Source organism: Homo sapiens, chromosome 11 (assembly GCF_000001405.40).
Source record: "Homo sapiens chromosome 11, GRCh38.p14 Primary Assembly".
Classification (NCBI taxonomy): domain Eukaryota; kingdom Metazoa; phylum Chordata; class Mammalia; order Primates; family Hominidae; genus Homo; species Homo sapiens.
Genome location: NC_000011.10, coordinates 68,905,257 through 68,925,313, shown reverse-complemented (window position 1 = coordinate 68,925,313; position 20,057 = coordinate 68,905,257). Strand labels below are relative to the sequence as shown.

Sequence of the window (20,057 nt, the reverse complement as noted above, 5' to 3'; positions counted from 1 at the left end):
ATTAGCTGGGCCTGGTGGCATGCGCCTGCAATCCCAGCTACTCAGGAGGCTGAGGCACAAGAATCACTTGAACCCGGGAGGAGGAGGCTGCAGTGAATCAAGATTGTGCCACTGCACTACAGCCTGGGCAACAGAGTGAGATGCTGTCTCAAAAAAAAAAAAAAAAAAAAAGAACCTGGACTCTGTTCCTTAGAGCAGCCCACCAGCTGAGAGGTTGTGGCAAACAGACTCTAAGGCAGGGATGTGCAATCTTTTGGCTTCCCAGGGCCATATTAAAAGAAGAAGAATTGTCTTGGGCCACACATAAAATATGCTAACATTGACAATAGCTGATGAGCTTAAAAAAAAAACACAGAGACAAAAATCTCATAATGTTTTAAGAAAGTTTATAAATTTGTGTTGGGCCACATTCAAAGTATCCTGGGCTACATGTGGCCTGCAGGCCTTTAGTTAGACAAACTTGCTTTAAGGTATGCCCCAGGATCCTGGCCACTGGTATTCACATCTTGCATAATCCCTTCCCCTCAAATGTGGGTGGGGCCTGAGACTTGCTTCTAATCCACAGAACAGGGGAAAGGTGATGAGATGTGACACCCTTGATAACATTACATAAGACGATAACCCATTGTGCTAGGAGACTATGTCTCTTGCTGGCTTTTAGGAAGCAAGCAGCCATGTTGGCAAGGCCTAAGGGCAAACAGCTAAGAGCGGCCTCCAGCCAACACCCAGCAAGAACCCACAGGGAACTGAATGCTGCCAACAACCACGTGAGCCTGAAGAAAGATCCTTTCCAGGCAAGTTTCAGATGAGACTGCAGCCCCCACTGACACCTCGATCGCAGCCTTGTGAGATCCTGAGCACAGCACCTTGTTCAGCCGGGCCTGGGCTCTCCGCCCAGATAAACTGTAGAATAATAAACGTGGGTTGTTTTCAGCTGCTACCTTTGTGGTACTATTATCACACAGGAACAAACCAGAGGTCTCACAAACACATTCCTAAACCCCAAAAGAGTGGTTGACAAGATTCCCACAACAGTCACAAGGTACACAGCTCTGTAACGGGAGTGCTCTCTCCTGGCTACAAGAGAGAATGTGCGTCCTCCACCTCTGCCCAAGATGGAATAGCAGGGACTGCATTTACTCTCCCATCTCAAATAACAACCCCCCCAGCCAGTTATTTAAAATTTTTTTAAAATAACTGAAACCACACTCTTCAGGACACTAGACAACAGGTAACAAAGAAAAGTAACCCCTGAATAACGAGAGACAAAGGAGGTGAGCCCTGGGGTTACCCCAGCTTTCTGCCTTGAGAGTTTCCAGGAGAGAGTACAGAGAAGGGGCAGCCAGGTAGAACCTAGAAGGCTCCCTGAGTTGAGGAGACAAGGCTGAGAATCTGTGGCGACCAATGCAGGCAGAGTTTCCAGGACAAAATGCCAAAGAGACTGCTACACAGAGAGAAAAAACCCCAGAGATCTGCTGCGAGATTCCCTTGGGTATTGTGATTAGCACATGCTTAGGAGAAAACTACTCCAGGCCTGGGAAAAATACCATCCAAAACAATGAGAGAAAAGTGCCCAGTGCTCACACAAGGCCGGGAACAGCACCTAATCCCACCAGTCAAACTCAAAAATCTCATGATACAGGGTGCATTGGGTAGAAAGCTCAAAGGGTCTTACCTCAGTACAGGGGAATATTAACCCTGGACTAAGCACTGATCCAGACCCTAACACATCTCAAAAGCAAGACTCAAAAGGATTAAACTGTTTACAAGTAACTTTACTGCTTCCCAAAACCAAGCACAAGAATATTATAGGAGACTGGGCGTGGTGGCTCACACCAATCCCAGCACTCTGGGAGGCCGAGGCAGGCAGATCACTTGAGGTCAGGAGTTTGAGACCAGCCTGGCCAACATGGTGAAACCTCGCCTCTACTAAAAATACAAAAATTAGCCGGGCATGGTAGCGCATGCCTGTAGTCCCAGCTACTCGGGAGACTGAGTCAAAAGAATCACTTGAATCCAGGAGGCAGAGGTTGCAGTGAGCCAAGATCGCACCACTGCACTCCAGCATGGGTGACAGAGCAAGACGCTGTCTCAAAAAAACAAAACAAAAAAACAAAAAAAAAGATTATAGGAATACAAAAATATTCAATATTCAGCATGCAACAACGTAAAATCCTCAATGTCCGGTATCCAAACAAACATTAGCAGGCCTACAAAAAGGTAGGAAAACACAACCACTCAAGGGGAACAGTTCATCGAAAGAGACCAAAAATGACACAGGTGATAGAGAAATAATAGTCTAGAATATTCAAAACAGTTATTATAGTTGTATTCCAAATGTTAAAAAAATTAAATAAGAACATCAAAGATATAAAAAGACTCTTATTTCTGGATGTCAGATGAAAGTTACACTGGATGGGACAGATGTGAGATTAGGCATGAAAGAAGGAAATTAGTGAACTCAGCAATAAGCAAGTATAAAGGTTCAGCTGTGCAAGATAAATTCTATAGATCTGCTGCACAACACGACGTCTATAGTTAACAATATTATATAGTACACTTAAACATTTAAGAGGGTAGATCTCATGTTGTGTTCTCACCACAATGTTAAAAAACATGAGGCCGGGTGCGGTGGCTCACACCTGTAATCCCACCACTCTGGGAGGCCAAGGCAGGCGGATCACGAGGTCAGGAGTTCGAGAGCAGCCTGGCCAATGTGGTGAAACCCCGTCTCTACTAAAAATACAAAAATTAGCCAGGCGTGGTGGTGTGCATCTGTACTCCCAGCTATTCCAGAGGCTGAGACAGAAGAATCGCTTGAACCCAGGAGGCAGAGGTTGCAGTGAGCCAAGATTGCGCCACGGCACTCCAGTCTGGGTGACAGAGTGAGACTCTGTCTCAAAAAAAAACATGAAGCAAATAGCACCAGGGCAAATCATAGTCAAATTGCTTAAAACCAGTGATAAAGAAAGCATCATTTTCTTTCTTTTTTTTTTTGAGACGGAGTCTGGCTCTGTCGTCCAGGTTGGAGTACAGTGGTGCAATCTCAGCTCACTGCAATCTCCGCCTCCGGGTTCAAGCGAGTCTCCTGCCTCAGCCTCCTGAGCATCTGGGATTACAGGTGCCCACCACCACACCCTGCTAATTTTTTTGTATTTTTAGTACATGTGGGCCAGGCTGGTCTCGGACTCCTGACCTCAGGTGATCCACTCGCCTTAAGCCTCCCAAAGTGCTGAGATTACAGGCATGAGCCACCACACCTGGCTGAAAAAATCTTAAATGCAGACAGAAGAAAAAAGACACGTTACATACAAAGGAACAAGGATAAGGATGACCAATTTCTCTTCAGAAATACTCAGGCAGATGACAGTGGACAACATCTTTAAAATATTGCAAGGAAAAGTGTTAATCTAGAATTCTCACGCAGCAAAAATATCTTTCAAAACTGCAGGTGAAACAAGATATTTTCAGACATACAAAAGCTACTGGACTGCATCACCGGCTGACCCACACTACAAGAAATGATCATGGATGCCTTTCAGGTGGAAGGAAAATGATGCCACGTGGAAATACACGACCTAAACCAAAAGAAAACAAAGCGCCAAAAGTGGTAACTACACGGGCAAATACGAAGACATTTTTCTTATTATTTAGATCTCTTTAAAGATAATTCACCATTAAAACAAGAACAAGCATTGTAAGTCTTAGAATATGCGTATAAGAAAAATATATGACAAAAGCATAAATGCTAAGAGGAGAGAAATGTCAGCTTGCAATCATAAAGCCCTTATGCTATATGTGAGGTGGCATATGAACAGACTATGATGAGTTGAAGACACATACTGTAAGGCCTAAAGTAACCACTGAAAGAATCAAATACAGATATATAGCTAACAAGCCAACAAAAACAAAAATAGGCCAGGAGTGATGGTTCATGCCTATAATCCCAGCACCAAGGTGGCCAAGGTGGGAGGATCCCCTGAGTCCAGGAGTTCGAGACCAGCCTGGGCAAAACAGCAAGACCTTGTCTCTATAAATTATCTTTTAAAAATAAATAAATAAATAAAAATAAATTCCTAAGAAATCTTCAATCATGGGGCATAGTGAGAACTTATGTAAAAAAAAAAAGAAATGTTCAATTAATTAATTAAAAGAAAGCAGAAGAGGAGGAAAATATAACAAAGAACAAACGGCAGAAACTGTCAAACTGGATAATAAAGCAAGGCCCAGCTATATGCTATCTACAAAAAAATTCACTTTAGGCCAAAGTGGGAGGATCACTTGAGGCCAGGAGTTTGAGACCAGCCTGGGCAACATTGCAAGACCCCATCTCTAAAAGGAAAAAAGAAAAGAACATTTTTAAAATTAGCCAGGTGTAATGGCTCATGCCTACAGTACTAGCTACTCGGGAAGCTGAGGTGGGAGGATTACTTGAGCCAAAGAATGCAAGGCTACAGCAAGTTATGATCACGCCTCTGCACTCCAGTCTGAGCAACAGAGCAAGACTCTCTCTTTAAAAAGAAATAAACAGGCCAGGCACAGTGGCTTACACTTGTAATCCTAGCACTGTGGGAGGCAGAGGTGGAAGGACTACTTGAGTCCAGGAACTCCAGACCAGCCTGGGCAACACAGTGAGATCTTGTCTCTATTAAAAATCAAAAAAATGAGCAGGGTGTGATAGCACGTGTCTGTTGTCCCAGCTACTCAGGAGGCTGAGGTGGGAGAATCACTTCAGCCCAGGAGGTTGAGGCTGCAGGGAGCCATGATTGCACCACTGCAACTCCAGTTAGGGGTAACACAGTGAGACCGTGTCTCAAATATTTTTTAAAAGATCACTTTAAACATAAAGACACAAATAGGTTCTAAGAAAAAGGATAAAGATAGATCACACTAACACTAGTTGAAAGAAAGGTGGGGGCTGGGTGCAATGGCTCACGCCTGTTAATCCCAGCAACTCAGGAGGTCAATGTGGGAGGATTGCTGGAGGTCCCACATTCATGGTTAAGGCTGGAGTACAGCTTTGACCGCACCACTGTACTCCAGCCTAGGTGACAGATTGGGACCCTGTCTCTTAAAAATAAAAAGAAAGCTGGACAACATGGATGAACCATGAGGGCATTACACTAAATAAAACAAGCCAGTCACAAGACGACAAATCCTGCATGGTTCCACTTACTTGAGGTATGTAAAATAATAAAATTCTTAGAAACAGACAGGAGAATGGTGACTGCCAGGATCTGGGACAGGGAAAAAGGGAATTGCTGTTCAACAGATCCAGAGCTTCAGGTCTGCAAGATGAAAATGTTCTAGAGATCTGCTGTACAACAACATGCATACAATTAATGCTACTGTACTACAGACTTAAAAAGGGTTACGATGGTAAATTTTACAGGTTTTTGACCATAATGAAAAGAAAAGCAAGCTGAAATGCTGAAATGATTATTTTAATGTCAGACAAAGTAGATTTCAAAAAAAGAATATTATCAGGGATAAAGAAGGTCATTTCATAATGATAAATTTGTTAATTAATCAAGAAAACATAGCCCCACATTTATGACCCCAGTAAAAGAGTTTCCAAAGATATGAAGCAAAAACCAATAGAACTGCAGGAAAAACAGACATGTCCAGTTATATTCAGAGATTTCAACGTCCCTCTCTCAATACAGCAGACTTGAACCACATCATCAACCATCATGATCTGACTACTTACAGAACACTCAATAAAATCAGAACACACGTTCTATCAAGTGTGCATGGAACACTCACAAAGACAGAGACCAGATTCTGGACCATAAAGTAAGTCTCGATGAACTATCCAAGTCATGAGAGTATGTCCTCTGACCACATGGAACTAAATTAGAAACCAATAACAGAAAGTAAGCCAGGTGCAGTGGCACATGCAGGGAGCCCCAGCTCCTCAGGAGGCTGAGCTGGGAGAATCACCTGAGCCCAGGAGTTTGAGTCCAGCCTGGGCAACATAGTGAGATCCCATATGGGGATGGGGATAGGGAAGGCGACGGGGATGGGGATGGGGACAGGGATGAGGAGAGGAGAGAAGAAGAGAGGAGAGGAGAGGAGAGGAGCAACACAGTGAGATCCCACACAGGACGGGGACGGGGACGGGGAGGGGAGGGGAGAGGAGAGGAGAGATCAACAACAGAAAGATATCTGGACATTTCCCAACTATCTAGAAACTATATAACACTTCTAAAAAACCAAAAGGCAAATGAGATAGCATTTTGAAATGAATGAAATATAACAGATCAGAATTTGTGGGATGCCACAAAAGCAGTACTTAGGGAGACATTTATGGAGCTAAATGCTCGTATCAGAAAAAAAGAAAGGTCTCAAATCAATGATCTCAGCTTCTACATTAAGAAGCAAGAAAAAGAACAAGCCCAAGAAAACAGAAAACGATAAAGATCAATGTGGAAATACATGAAACAGAAAAACAATAGAGAAAAAGCAAAAGCTGGTTCTTTGGGAAGATCAATTGAAACCTGCAGCCAGGCCGGGCGCGGTGGGTCCACCTGTAATCCTAGCACTTTAGGAGGCTGAGGCAGGGGGATCCCTTGAGCCCAGGAGTTTGAGACCAGCCTGGGCAACATAGTGAGACCCTGTCTCTTTTTTTGTTTTGCTTTGTTTTTTTGGTTTTGGGGTTTTTATTTTTTTGAGGCGGAGTCTTGCTCTGTCACCCAGGCTGGAGTGCAGTGGCGCGATCTTGGTTCACTGCAACCTCCACCTCCAGGATTCAAGCAATTCTCCTACCTCAGCCTCCCAAGTAGCTGGAATTACAGGTGCATACCACAACTCCTGGCTAATTTTTGTATTTTTAGTAGAGATGGGGTTTCACCATGTTGGCTAGGCAGGTCTCAAACTCCTGACCTCAGGTGATCCACCCGCATTGGCATCCCAAAATGCTGGGATTACAGGTGTGAGCCACTGCGCCTGGCAGAGACCCTGTCTCTTAAAATATATATGTATGTATATATAAAATCTAAATTTAAAAAAAAAAACCCTCCAGCCAGAAGAGCAGGAAAAAAAAGAGCACACAAACCAGTATCAGGAATAATACAGGTTATATCATGACAGATCCTGCAGACAGTAAAAGAAGAATAAGGGCATATTAGGAACCACTTCATGCCTCTAAATTCAACCGTTTAGATAAAATGGACAAACTTCTTGAAAGCTACAAGCTCATGGAAGAAAAACAACCTGAACAGCCCTTTATCTATTGAAGAAGTTGAATTTGTAGTTCAAAACCTCTCCATGAAGAAAACTGCAGGTACGGAGGCCTTCCCTAGTGAACCCTACCCAACTTTTAAGAAAGAAATACCAATTCTAAACAAACTCTTCCAGAAAACAGAAGAGGGAACACACCCCAACTCCTTCTTCGAGGCCACACAGGCAGGATGGAGACGCCCCCTCACCTGTGTTTGTTGCAAGGACCACGTTTGCCGAAGTGAGGCTCTCGAGCATAGCTGCTTCTTCCCTCTCCTTCAGTTCTTTTCTTAACAGCTTAATTTCATTTCGAAAATTACTTTTCTCTCTCTTATCCTGGGTCTTTTTGTTTTTCACCTATAAAGAAAAACAAAGGAGATACACTTACTTCAGTCCAACTTTGTACTTCTTCAACTCTATTTATGAAGTGCTTCTATCATTCAGTCCAGTTCAATAAACTCCGTAAAAAACACTCAGAAATCTTCCTTGAAAGAGACACAGATACACACACGCAACTAAGCACCTTACATCCTCACTTGCCTTGAAGTCACAGGAAGAGACATTTTAAGTCCTGGAAAGAGACCACGTTTTTAACTCAGAGGAGACCAGAAATTGGACCAGCCCTGCCCTGCACACAGGCATTTGATCTTGGGGAAGAAAAAGCGCTTGCCCGCCCCAGGATTTGGGTTGTAGGAGCTTACGAATAGAGAGACTGAGCTTCACATATTATTCTACATTTTTCAAGAGATTAAAAAAAATTTTTTCAACCCATAATCAAAACCTCAACTTACTTTAATATCTCAAAAAGATGGAACTGGTCAGGCGCGGTGGCTCATGCCTGTAATCCCAGCACTTTGGGAGCCCGAGGCAGGCAGATCACGAGCTCAGGAAATCGAGACCAGCCTGGCCAACACAGTGAAACGCTGTCTCTACTAAAAATACAAAAAATTAGCTGGGCATGGTGTGTGCCTGTAATCCCAGCTACTCGGGAGGCTGAGGCAGGAGAATTGCTTGAACCCAGGAGGCGGAGGTTGCAGTGAGCCGAGATTGCACCACTGCACTCCAGCCTGGGCGACAGAGCAAGATTCTTTAAAAAAAAAAAAAAAAAAAAAAAAAAGATGTAACCTTTCCTTATTTGTGATTTCTACTTTGGGGGATGGAGTTTTAGCAGGGGTGACAGGAGGTATTTTACTGTGTATAATTTACAGAGAAAGAAAATCCTCAAAAGCACCAATTTCAACAGGAAATGAAATCACCCACATTTGTGATGAGCAAACATCATGCATATTCCTCCACCACCTCGAACCTGCATGACATGCATCTATCCTTCCTCCCCCTCCCAGCAGGCGGCCCATCCCCACGCTGCCATGCAAGCAGCCACGCAAGCAGCCTCGATGCCACGGGCCCATAGCAAAGACTGGCTCCCAGCACCCTCTCTGCTGCCGCCACTCCTCCGAGGTTAGGACACCGAGGGTGCAGGTGCTGACCGTAAGCACACAGGACAAGATGTGAGCACAGACATTAGAGCAAAGACTGGCTCCAGCACCCTCCCTGCTGCCATCACTCCTCTGAGACTAAGACACCAAGGAGTACCAGTACCGACAGTGAGCACACAGGACAGGACGTGAGCACAGACACTACAACAAAGCGTCCACGGGAGAACCAAAGAGCTCAAAAGTGTCGGAGTGTCGGGCTGGGGGGAAAAGGCCCTCTCAAATGGAAGAAACCTACCACCACCCTACTTCTCCAGCCGACTGGTGTCCTCTTTCACAAGGAGAAGGTGGAATGGACGGAAAGCTCTAGGAGGATGCCAATTTTTTCAATGTTTATGTTCAGGCTACTTTTCTCCCATTGCCACTACTAGCAAGACAACAGGACCAGACAGAAAGACACCCAGGAAAATGTTTGGTTTTTTTTTTGAGACGGAGTCTTGCTTTGTCACCGAGGCTGGAGTGCAGTGGAGTGACCATGGCTCACTGCAACCTCCACCTCCCAGGTTCAAGAGATTCTCCTGCCTCAGCCTCCCAAGTGGCTGGGAATACAGGTGCCCGCCACCATGCTCAGCTAATTTTTGTATTTTTAGTAGAGACGGGGTTTCACCATGTGGGCCAGGCTGGTCTCGAACTCCTGACCTCAACTGTTCCGCCCACCTCGGCCTCCCAAAGTGCTGGGATTGCACGTGTGAGCCACTGTATCCGGCCGGAAAATGTTTTCTTTACAATTCCTCACACCTACTAACCAAGTGCTCTGAAGACAGTTGAGACTCTGTTAAATGCTAAGTATAGTTCTCTATCAAAAATGGGCAGCCCTGGCTGGGTACAGTAGCTCACACCTGTAATCCAGCACTTTGGGAGGCTGAGGCGGGTGGATCACTTGAGGTTAGGAGTTCGAGACCAGCCTGGCCCACATGGCGAAACCCCCGTCTCTACTAAAAATAAAAAAATTGGTTGGGTGTGGTGGCACATGCCTGTAGTCCTAGCTACTTGGGAGGGTGAGGCACAAGAATCACTTGACCCCGGGAGGCGGAGCCTGCAGTGAGCCAAGACAGCAGCACTACACTCCGGCCTGGGTGACAGAGCGAGACTCCATCTCAAAAAAAAAAACAAAAACAAAGGCCAGGCATGGTGGCTCACGCCTGTAATCCCAGCACTTTGAGAGGCCGAGGCGGGCAGAGCACCTGAGGTCAGGAATTCAAGACCAGCCTGACCAGTATGATGAAACCCTGTCTCAACTAAAAATAGAAAAATTAGCCAGGCGTGGTGACACGCACCTGCAGTCCCAGCTACTAGGGAGGCTGAGGCAGGAGAATCGCTTGAACCCAGGAGGCAGAGGTTGCAGTGAGCCGAGATTGCACCACTGCACTCCAGCCTGAGCAATGAGAGCAAAACTCTGTCACAAAAAAAAAAAAAAAAAAAAAAAAAAAAAAGGGCAGCCCAATTTTTAAAATTATTAAAGGAATCGACAGAAGCAAGAGAAGGTCAAGAGGAATGCAGACAGATAAATTTGCTCCTTAAAAAGACTGCAGATCAGAAGCCCACGCCCCACATGGACACTGGCCATGACACCTACAAAGACCTGGTCGATGTCCTTCCTGATATCTGCAACAATCTGGGCACTGTCGCTCCGCGCTAAAACCGCATCCAGGGAGTGCTGCTGAATGGACTCCAGGAGGCGGGCAGGGTGTCCCAGGCGCAGAATCCGCTGCTTACACAGAGCCAGGCGCTCCACCAGATTGTCCACGGCGATGTTGGAGGGGGCGCAGCACAGAACCTGGGAACCGCAAGTTAGGATCTGGTCATTTACTTTGTAATCAAACCACTGAAGTTGACACTAAAACAACAAAAAGCCTTAAAGGTAGAAAGAAGCACAAGGCATGTACACACGTGCTCTCAATCAAATCTTGCATTCATTTTCCAAGCCCACGTGTGATCCGATTCTTCCGGTACCCCAAGGCAAGAACCCAGGATACAGAAAGCCCTCTGTCCTTGTGACAAGGAAGGGGATCTAATTGAGTTGGTTAACATAAGCCACCTATAGACGGCAAACTAAGAGAGCACCCTGTAACTCACAGAGCTGTAAACATTCACCCCTAGACACTGCCATGAGGTCAGAGCCCACAGCCTGCCCATCTGTATGCTCCCCTGCAGGTCTGAGCAGCAGGACACTGAAGAAGCGAGCCACTCCCCCATCCCACGCCCTGCGAGGGGGACAAGGGAACCCTTCCCGTTTCAAATGGACTCACAGTTGTCTCCCGAACACTGTAGCTCCACTATATTTTTCTTTCTTTCTTTTTTTTTTTTGAAACAAATTGCTCTATGGCCCAGGCTGGAGCGCAGTGGCAGGATCATGGAGAAACCGGCTCAATAGTCCCATGGACAGTTGTTTTTGGATAAAGAGAAATTGACCATCTGCTGTTAAAGCTTCAAACTTATTTATGTGAGTTTCTTCCTCAGAAAAGGACATTGAGGCCTCTCAAAAAAATATCAAAGATCTGAAAATCACCAGACCACTACAGGTGCCTCCTTGCCCTCCCTAGTTCCTGTTTTTTACACATTGCTACATTTCTTCCCTGTTATATAAACCCCTAGTTTTAGTCAGGGAGATGGGTTTGAGGATGAGCTCTCATCTCCTCGGCTGCACCATCTGATTATAAAGCCTCTTCCTTGGCAATACTTGTCCTCAGTAACTGGCTTTCTGTGTGGCGAGCAGCAAGACCTAGACCACACTCCTGGTGTTTCGTGACTTTCTGGGCTCAAGCTATCTTCCTGGCTCAGCCTCCCAAGTAGCTGAGACTGCAGGCATGCATCACCATGCCCAGCTAATTTCTTCTATTTTTTGTAGAGACTGGGTCTTGCTATGTTGCCCAGACTGACCTCAAACTCCTGGGTTCAAGTGATCCTCCCCCCTTGGCCTCCCAAAGCGCTAGGATAACAGACATGAGCCGCTGCACCCAGCCACAGCTCCACTATTAAAAGTGAGACGCTGGCCAAGTACGGTGGCTCATGCCTGTAATCCCAGCACTTTGGGAGGCCAAGGTGCGAGGTCAGGAGTTTAAGACCACCCTGGACAACATAGTGAGACCCCATCTCTGAGGAAAAAAAAAAGAGGAGGTGGCAACCAGCAGAGGAGGCAGAGTCTCTACAGGCCCTTAAGCTCAAAACAAACAGCAGCTCAGGAAGGAGGCTCAGCCACCCACTCTCTATGCCCAGCATCGCCTCCAACCCCACTGGCATGTCCAAAGGCATATCTCCACCAAAGCGTGCACACAGGTGTGTCTTGGCTCACTTTTAGTGAATAGTCGGCACCCAATTAAAACCACCAATCTGCTCCCTTCCAATAAGTCATCTTTTCTTACCAGTTTTCAAACATGTGCAAAGACACTCACACATTGGAAAACCGCTGGACGTAATCTTTTAAGCAAGTGACAGGCTTCCCTGCGCTCTGCCCGAGTTCCATTGCTGGCTCTGCCACTCTGAGTGCTGGGCATTTGACCTTGTTTCTCAGTTTCCTCGTGGTTTTTTTGGTTTTTTTTTTTTTTTTTTTTTTTTTGGAGATGGAGTTTTGCTCTTATTGCCCAGGCTGGAGTGCAATGGTGCGATCTCAGTTCACTGCAACCTCCACCTCCCAGGTTCAAGCAATTCTCCTGCCTCAGCCTCCCAAGTAGCTGGGATTGCAGGTGTGTGCCACCACACCCGGCTAATTGTTTTGTATTTTTAGTAGAGACGGGGTTTCACCATGTTAGCCAGGCTGGTCTCGAACTCCTGACCTCAGGTGACCCACCCGCCTCAGCCTCCCAAAGTACTGAGAATACAGGTGTGAGCCACCACACCCGGCTTCCTTGTCTACAAACTGGGGCCACTAACCACCTGCCTTGGCACAGGGTTTCAGTGAGGATTAAATGGGTGCTCAGAACGATGCCTGGTGGTAGGCAGCACCCAGTAAACATCAAACTACAAAACTGGCCATTATTCCAATTCTCATCATTATCCAACATTTTTATAAACCAGAAAGTTTTTTCAAAAAGCTCTAGAACTTAAAGTATAATTAAAAATAAATAAATAAATTAAAAAAAAAAAAACTCTCCATGTGCCAAGATCCACAATGACTCAAGCTGATGCAGATGATGATAAAAGATCCTTTTTCAGCCATTAAAAATGTAACTGGGCCGGGCACAGTGGCTCATGCCTGTAATCGTAGCACTTTGGGAGGCTGAGGCAGGCAGATCAACTGAAGTCAGGAGTGAGACCAGACTGGCCAATGTGGTGAAACTCCATCTCTACTAAAAATACAAAAATTAGCCAGGCATGGTGGCGCACGCCTATAATCCCAGCTGTTCGGGAGGCTGAGGTAGGAGAATCACTTAAACCCGGGAGGCGGAGGTTGCAGGGAGCCAAGATCCCGCCCCTGCACTCCAGACTCTAGCCTGGGTGACAGAGTGAGGCTCCGTCTCCAAAAAATAAAAATAAAAAAAATTTAAAATGTAAGTGAATAATAATGTACAATGTTATATTCCACATCTCAGAAAATCATTCATCTGTGCACTGGACATGTGCATCGTATCCATTAACCAGACTATCTGATTAGCTGTTAACACCTCAACCAGACGCTGAGCTCCTGACGGGCACAGACCGGGCCCAGGCCAACTCCAGGCCCCTGCACGGGCGTGCACACGGAGGAGCACGAGCACAGCAAGCGTGGTGAACAAATAAACCCTGACCCAGGGCCTGGCCGACACGAAGGCTGCCACGCCTCAAAGGGCTCCAGGAGCCTTCCTCAACAACCCAGGCTACGGCTCCTGCGCGTGCTCCCCAAGACTCACGGGGATGCTGGAAATCAAACAGGGGCAGTCCAAGGCTCAATCAATAAATGCTCAGTAATGTTCCTGACCCATCCCACCAGAACTGAGGCTGAAAGGTCGCTGAGCACCCACTGAACACAACAGACCAGGAGCGGACGGGCTCTGACAGGGAAGTGGCATGCACTGCCCACCTTTAAGCCTTGTTTCACAGCTTGAAGAATGATCTCAACCACAGTCGTGGTTTTCCCAGTGCCAGGAGGTCCATGGATGATGGCAAGTTCTTTCTGAGACAGCGCAAATAAAACCGCTTCTTTCTGGGAGGTGTCCAGGCAGGTGTTGAAGAATGTCAGCGGGTCTGTGGAAGAAGCAGCAGCGTGAGGCTCAGGTGCTCTGGGGAGCTCTGTGGGTGTTCCTCCTCAGAGAGTGTGTGCCCCGGGGGATGAGTGATGCCTGTCAGGAACACGCCGGACCTCCCCAGGGGCAACCCAATCAACACAAAATTAAGTCTGCTTTATTTTCACAAGGTTTCTCCTTGAACAGGAATCGGCAAACTGTGGGCCACATCCAGTCAGCTGCCGGTTTTGGTGAGTTTTACTGGAGCACAGCCACACCCATTGATTTACATACCGTCTACAGCAGGCAGCTGTAGACGGTACGTATGATATGGCCCACAGAGTCAAAACATTCACAATCCATCCCTTTACAGGAAAAACCCCTGCTCTAGAGTAACAGGAATGAAGGAAATGTTTCCTAGAGCATATTCCTTTCTAACATAATGTCCCTCTTTAAAGTGCCCATAAAATGATAAAGACAAATGACAAAAACAATGATTAACAAATTCTAGGATCGTGTTTCTATTTTGAATCTTCCACGACCAAGACTAAAGATCTGCTTCTTTTTTTTTTTTTTTTTTGAGATGGAGTCTTGCTTGTCACCCAGGCTGGAGTGCAATGGCATGATCTCAGCTCACTGCAACATCCGCCTCCTGGGTTCAAGCGATTCTCCTGCCTCAGCCTCCAGAGTAGCTGGGACTACAGGTGAGTGCCACCATGCCCAGCTAATTTTTTGTGTTGTTAGTAGAGACGGGGATTCACCGTGTTGGCCAGGATGGTCTTGATCTCCTGACCTCATGATCTGCCGGCCTCAGCCTCCCAAAGTGCTGGGACTAAAGGTGTGAGCCACCGCGCCTGGCCAAGACCTGCTTCTTATGCTGTGCTCTTGAGAGCAGGTGGTGCTGTGCTCAGCCCTGCAGCCATGGCATTCGCTACATGGTGCCCACTACACAGAGACGCCTATCGGATAAGGAGCAGCTCATAAGCAAAGGGTGTTTGCTGACCCTGACTTGTGAGACTGAAGCCAACATGGAAGACGGCAGGGTGTGCAGCTAGTAACAGGCCATTGAACCCCACGTTCCCGTGCTCTAGCCAAGCCATTCCAGAGTCCCTAAGACACAGTAAATACATTTCTAATTCAGTTTGTGACGCATAGGAGCCCTTCAGTAAATATTTCATAGAAATAAAGCATTACTGAAATGTGACTGCATTTAGAATTTCCAAAGGAAAATGCAGAAAGAAAATGAGTATTTAAAAACAACACATCTTGAGGGACTGCATGCTGAAAGAGTGCTACAAAGTCGTCCTGTGTGTTTGAAGCTAACACAACACTGGCTTGCCTAGCACAGTATGATAGAAAATAGCTGTGGGGTAACCCTTGCATGAGGCTTGGCCAAAGCCACCGCTTTACAAATGGGCCAAGTCCAATACTCACAGGACTGTTAAATCATGGGCAGTGACTGGATGAGACAACAAACTCCTCCCAAAAATGACGTTCTCCAAGAACAGCAAAGGACATAAAAAGTGCACAGACCGGGCACGGTGGCTCACGCCTGTAATCCCAGCACTTTGGGAGGCCGAGGCAGGTAGATCACCTGAGGTCAGGAGTTCAAGACCGGCCCGACCAACATGGTGAAACCATGTTGTCTCTACTAAAAAATACAAAAATTAGCCGGGCATGGTGGCGGGCACCTGTAATCCCAACTACTTGGGAGGCTGAGGCAGGAGAGTCACTTGAACCCAGGAGGCGGAGGTTGCAGTGAGCCGAGGTCGCACCACTGCACCCCACTCTTGGTGACAGAGCAAGTCTCCGTCTCAAAAAAAAAAAAAAAAGATTTTTCCAACCTAAAATTGCTATCAAGCATAAAGTATGATCAGCTTTCCTCTATTTTCACAAAGTACTAAGCTAAAAGAAATATCATTACATTTCAAAATAAAAGATTTATATACACTAAAAAGAACATTATTTTAAAACTCAATGGAGGCTAGGCACGGTAGCTCATGCCTGTAATCCCAACACTTTGGGAGGCTGAGGTGAGTAGATCACTTGAGATCAGGAGTTTGAGAACAGCCTGGCCAAGATGGCAAAACCCTGTCTCCACTAAAAATACAAAAATTAGCCAGGCGTGGTGGCGTGTGCCTGTAATCCCAGCTATTCAGGAGGCTGAGGCATGAGAATCACTTGAGCCCGGGAGGCGGAGGTTGCAGTGAGCCAAGATCATGCCACTATACTCCAGTCTGGGTGACAGAGCGAGACTCCATCCGCCCCCCCCCTCCACCCCCCCCGCCAAAAAAAAATTTTTTTAACTAAAAACTCAATGGGGCCAGGCGCACGGTGGCTCACGCCTGTAATCCCAGCACTTTGGGAGGCCAAGGCGGGTGGATCATGAGGTCAGGAGTTCGAGACCAGCCTGGTCAATATGGTGAAACCTCATCTCTACTAAAAGTACAGAAATTAGCCAGGCGTGGTGGTGCATGCCTGTAGTCCCAGCTACTTGGGAGGTTGAGGCAAAAGAATCACTTGAACCCGGGAGGCGGAGTTTGCAATGAGCTGAGATCGCGCCACTGCACTCCAGCCTGGGCAACAGAGCAAGATTCTGTCTCAAAAAAAAAAAAAAAACCTCAATGGAACGAGCCAGTTCATTAGGACTGAGTACAAGGAGGACGGTCCAGTTCATGCAAGGCCCTCCGAGACACTCCTACAAAGATGTTCAGGGAGACTTCTTCTAGTCATACTTTCTCAAACTCTTATTAAAACGGCCCAAGGTCACACTGTTCTCTATACTTTCAGTAGTGATTTCAACCAAAAAAGAAAACTCAGAAGTTCTTACGTATTTCACTGGCAGGACTGGGAGCAGATCTGCCAAAGAGCACTTCTATGAGTGAGGAGGCTGGGCCAGAATGATACTTCTTTAGAGCAATCAGGGCTCTGCCAAGGGAGAAAACTAAAATTAGAACACCTGCAATTCAGTGCCCGAGCCTCTGCCCCAATGCTGCCACCAACTCCCATGAGGGCCACACCCACACCATGACTTGTTGCTCTCTTTTGTGCGACAGGCATGTAAGAATGGATTAGCTGTGTTGAAGGAAGATGGTACTTAGGATTTCCAGTCCCATCCACTTACTTTTTCAGTCGCCTGTAAGTGACATCATTGGCAAGTTTTAACAGTCTGTAGGAATTCTCTCGGTCCAAGCTCAACTGGAAATCGTGGGACTCATCAAAGGCCACCGTGACCGACTTCTGGGTGACCCGGGTCAAGATCCCAGTGGCCAGCTGACTGCCCTCATTAGCAGCATCGTACAGGCCCACGATATCACCTGCAAAAACAAAGACTCAGTGACACAAGACACTGGGGAAAGCTTCAATATCATTTTCTGTAATAAAATCCACTATACTTCAAATATTTTATCTTTGTTACTTTCTTTAGTAAATGCAATCAGTAACAGTTAAAAAAAAAAAAAGAAAGTAAGTTAGGCCGGGCACGGTGGCTCACGCCTGTAATCCCAGTACTTTGGGAGGCAGAGGTGGGCAGATCACGAGGTCAGGAGATTGAGACCATCCTGGCTAACACAGTGAAAGCCCGTCTCTACTAAAAATACAAAAAATTAGCCAGGCGTGGTGGCGGGCACCTGTGGTCCCAGCTACTCGGGAGGCTGAGGCTGCAGTGAGCCAAGATTGCACCACTGCACTCCGGCCTGAGCGACAGAGTGAGACTCCATCTCAGAAAAAAAAAATCTCAAACTCTGCTCAGGTCTGACTCCAACCTACAGGTTCCCCTCCTGGCCCTCTCCTCTCTCAATACCCTCATCTCATCTTCTCCAAATCCAGCCAGTATTCCAGTAATTGTTGGGCTAAAGTCTACGAAATCAAAATATGAAATTTAAAACTCCGTCACCACCAAAACAAGGCAGAGACACTTCCATAGTAAAAAGTACAGCCCTGGCAACGCTGCTTCCTCCAGGCTTCCAAGGCTGTGGTTGTCTAACACAAGCATCCCAGGCGTGTGGTTAAGAAGCTTCTTCTAACTGTCCCTCCTTTCCAACCAGGCTGGCACAAGTTTAGCCAAAGCATGCTTGGCACAAGAAAGGGTTGGGAATACAGAAGTACACATCCTGCATGTTTACCAGCTGGACCAAGGCTGCCCATTACATAGAAACATAAAGAGAGTCACATGTAGTTTTTCTTTTGTTTTTGTCTGTTTTGAGAGAGGGTCTCACTTTGCCCCCAAGCTAGAGTGCAGTGGCGTGATTTCAGCTCACTGCAGCCTCAACCTCCCAGGTTCAAGCGATCCTCCTGCCTCAGCCCATCAAGTAGCAGGAACTACAGGCACACACCACCACATCTGGCTAATTTTTCTATTTTTTTGCAGAGATGGGGTTTTGCCACGTTGCCCAGGCTGGTCTCGAACTCCTGAGATCAAGTGATCCACCCACCTCGGCCTCCCAAAGTGCTAGGATTACAGGCACCCAGTCACGTGTAGTTTTAAGTTTTCTAGTAGCCATATTAAGAAATTTAAAAGAGGCTGGGTGCACTGGCTCACACCTGTAATCCCAGCACTTTGGGAGGCCAAAGCAGGCGGATCACCTGAAGTTGGGAGTTCGAGACCAGCCTGAACAACATGGAGAAACCCCGTCTCTACTAAAAATACAAAATTAGCCAGGCACGGTGGCGCATGCCTCTAATCCCAGCTACTCGGGAGGCTGAGGCAGGAGAATCACTTGAACCCCGGAGGCGGAGGTTGCAGTGAGCCGAGATCATGCCACTGCACTCCAGACTGGGCAATAAGAGCGAAACTCTGTCTCAAAAAAAAAAAAAAAAAAAGAAAAGAAATGGGTAAATTATTTTAATAAGATATTTTTTATTTAACCCAATATATGAAAAATATTATTTCAACATGTAATCAGTATTCAGAAAAATTACTCAAGATATTCCCAATTGTTTTTTTAACATAATCTTCCAAATTTGGTGTGTATTCTGTATCTGCGGCAATTACAAGCCACACTTCAAACATTTGATGACCACGCATGGCTAATGGCTACCATTTTGGACAACGCTGATCTAGACAACTAAAACCCACATCAATTGTTGGACTTCTGATTAAGAGTTCTTCATTGCAACGCTTTATTCTCCAACTGGTCATTTTAATCCAGTCTTTACGAGGGTACAAGTCACGGTCTGAATGCCAGTAAATTTCAATGTCTGTCTAGGTCAATACGCACACACCAGAAGTAAAGCTGTTACTGGGAAGAGCTGCCGCGGACCCGTATCGCCTGGGCTCAAAGGTGACCAGCAGCCGTCCGTACAGCCCAGTGCGCTGGCTGGATACCTGCAGCTTCAGCAAACACACGCCTCGGCTCTGGAGCTCTTTCAGAGAGATGTTCTCCTGCCAGGACCTGGAAGACACCCGGTATTGATGCTTCAGGATTTTTACTAGTTTCTACTTCCACCCACCCAGGAAAAGTAAAAGAGAAAGAAACATAGATAAAGATCTACTCACAGGCACTAAATATGTCCCAATGGAACTCCGAATTGGCTCCACTCCCAATCCCGCTCCTCCTACATCCCCCTAGGGCAGTTAATGCCACAACCCTTCTCTCAGTTACCTGAGACAGATCTTTCAATCAGCATTCCCCTCTCTCCTCCCATCTGTCACTAAGTCCTATCAGGCCCCTCCCATTTCTACCTGGACTTCTCTGCCTCTCATCCTGGCTGCCACAGCCCCGGTTCAAATCCACATCACTGCTCACCTGGACTAAACAGAGCCTCTCAACTACCTTACCTCTGGCCTCTCCACGTCCAATCAAAAGCAGGAGACCCAAGAAATCCTCCTAAAATGCAAAGCTATTCGCCTCCCTCACCTGCTTAACCCCGCTGATGGCCCATCCTTCATACACAGAACAGAAGACTAGCTCCTTAGCCAGGCCCTTCCCAGGCTCGCCCTGCCAGTCTGCTCAGCATCCTCAGAAAGAGCCACTGCCATGGGGGCTGACTCTGTCCTTGGCACCACGCTGAGCACCTGACTGACAGGGGATCGTTTCATTCTCAGAGCAAGCCTGTGAGGTGGGAATCATCCCAGTTTTACAGATGAAGTAAGTAAGGCTCAGAGACAGAACCTGCAAAGTCACACAGCCATAAATGAAACAGCTGGGATTCTAAGAAACTCAACATAACTGCAAAAGCTCTCCATTGCCATGATCAAAAGCAT

At 46.6% G+C, this 20,057-nt stretch overlaps 1 protein-coding gene across 5 annotated transcripts in view; it reads right to left on the bottom strand.

The window, feature by feature from the left end:
• IGHMBP2 (immunoglobulin mu DNA binding protein 2) overlaps nucleotides 1–20,057 on the bottom strand; it is a 36,711-nt gene that overhangs the window by 15,288 nt on the left and 1,366 nt on the right. For 4 of the 5 annotated variants that reach the window (NM_002180.3, XM_047426881.1, XM_017017671.3 and 1 more), the window contains exons 2-7: nucleotides 19,076–19,245; nucleotides 16,977–17,169; nucleotides 16,683–16,780; nucleotides 13,711–13,874; nucleotides 10,291–10,491; nucleotides 7,431–7,578 (exon numbers count right to left, since the gene is read on the bottom strand). In NM_002180.3, the coding sequence (NP_002171.2) occupies nucleotides 7,431–7,578; nucleotides 10,291–10,491; nucleotides 13,711–13,874; nucleotides 16,683–16,780; nucleotides 16,977–17,169; nucleotides 19,076–19,245 (974 nt within the window). Of the gene's footprint in view, nucleotides 1–7,430; nucleotides 7,579–10,290; nucleotides 10,492–10,963; nucleotides 12,929–13,710; nucleotides 13,875–16,682; nucleotides 16,781–16,976; nucleotides 17,170–19,075; nucleotides 19,246–20,057 lie in introns of those variants that run through there. The other variant, XM_017017670.3, reaches the window with a different exon arrangement.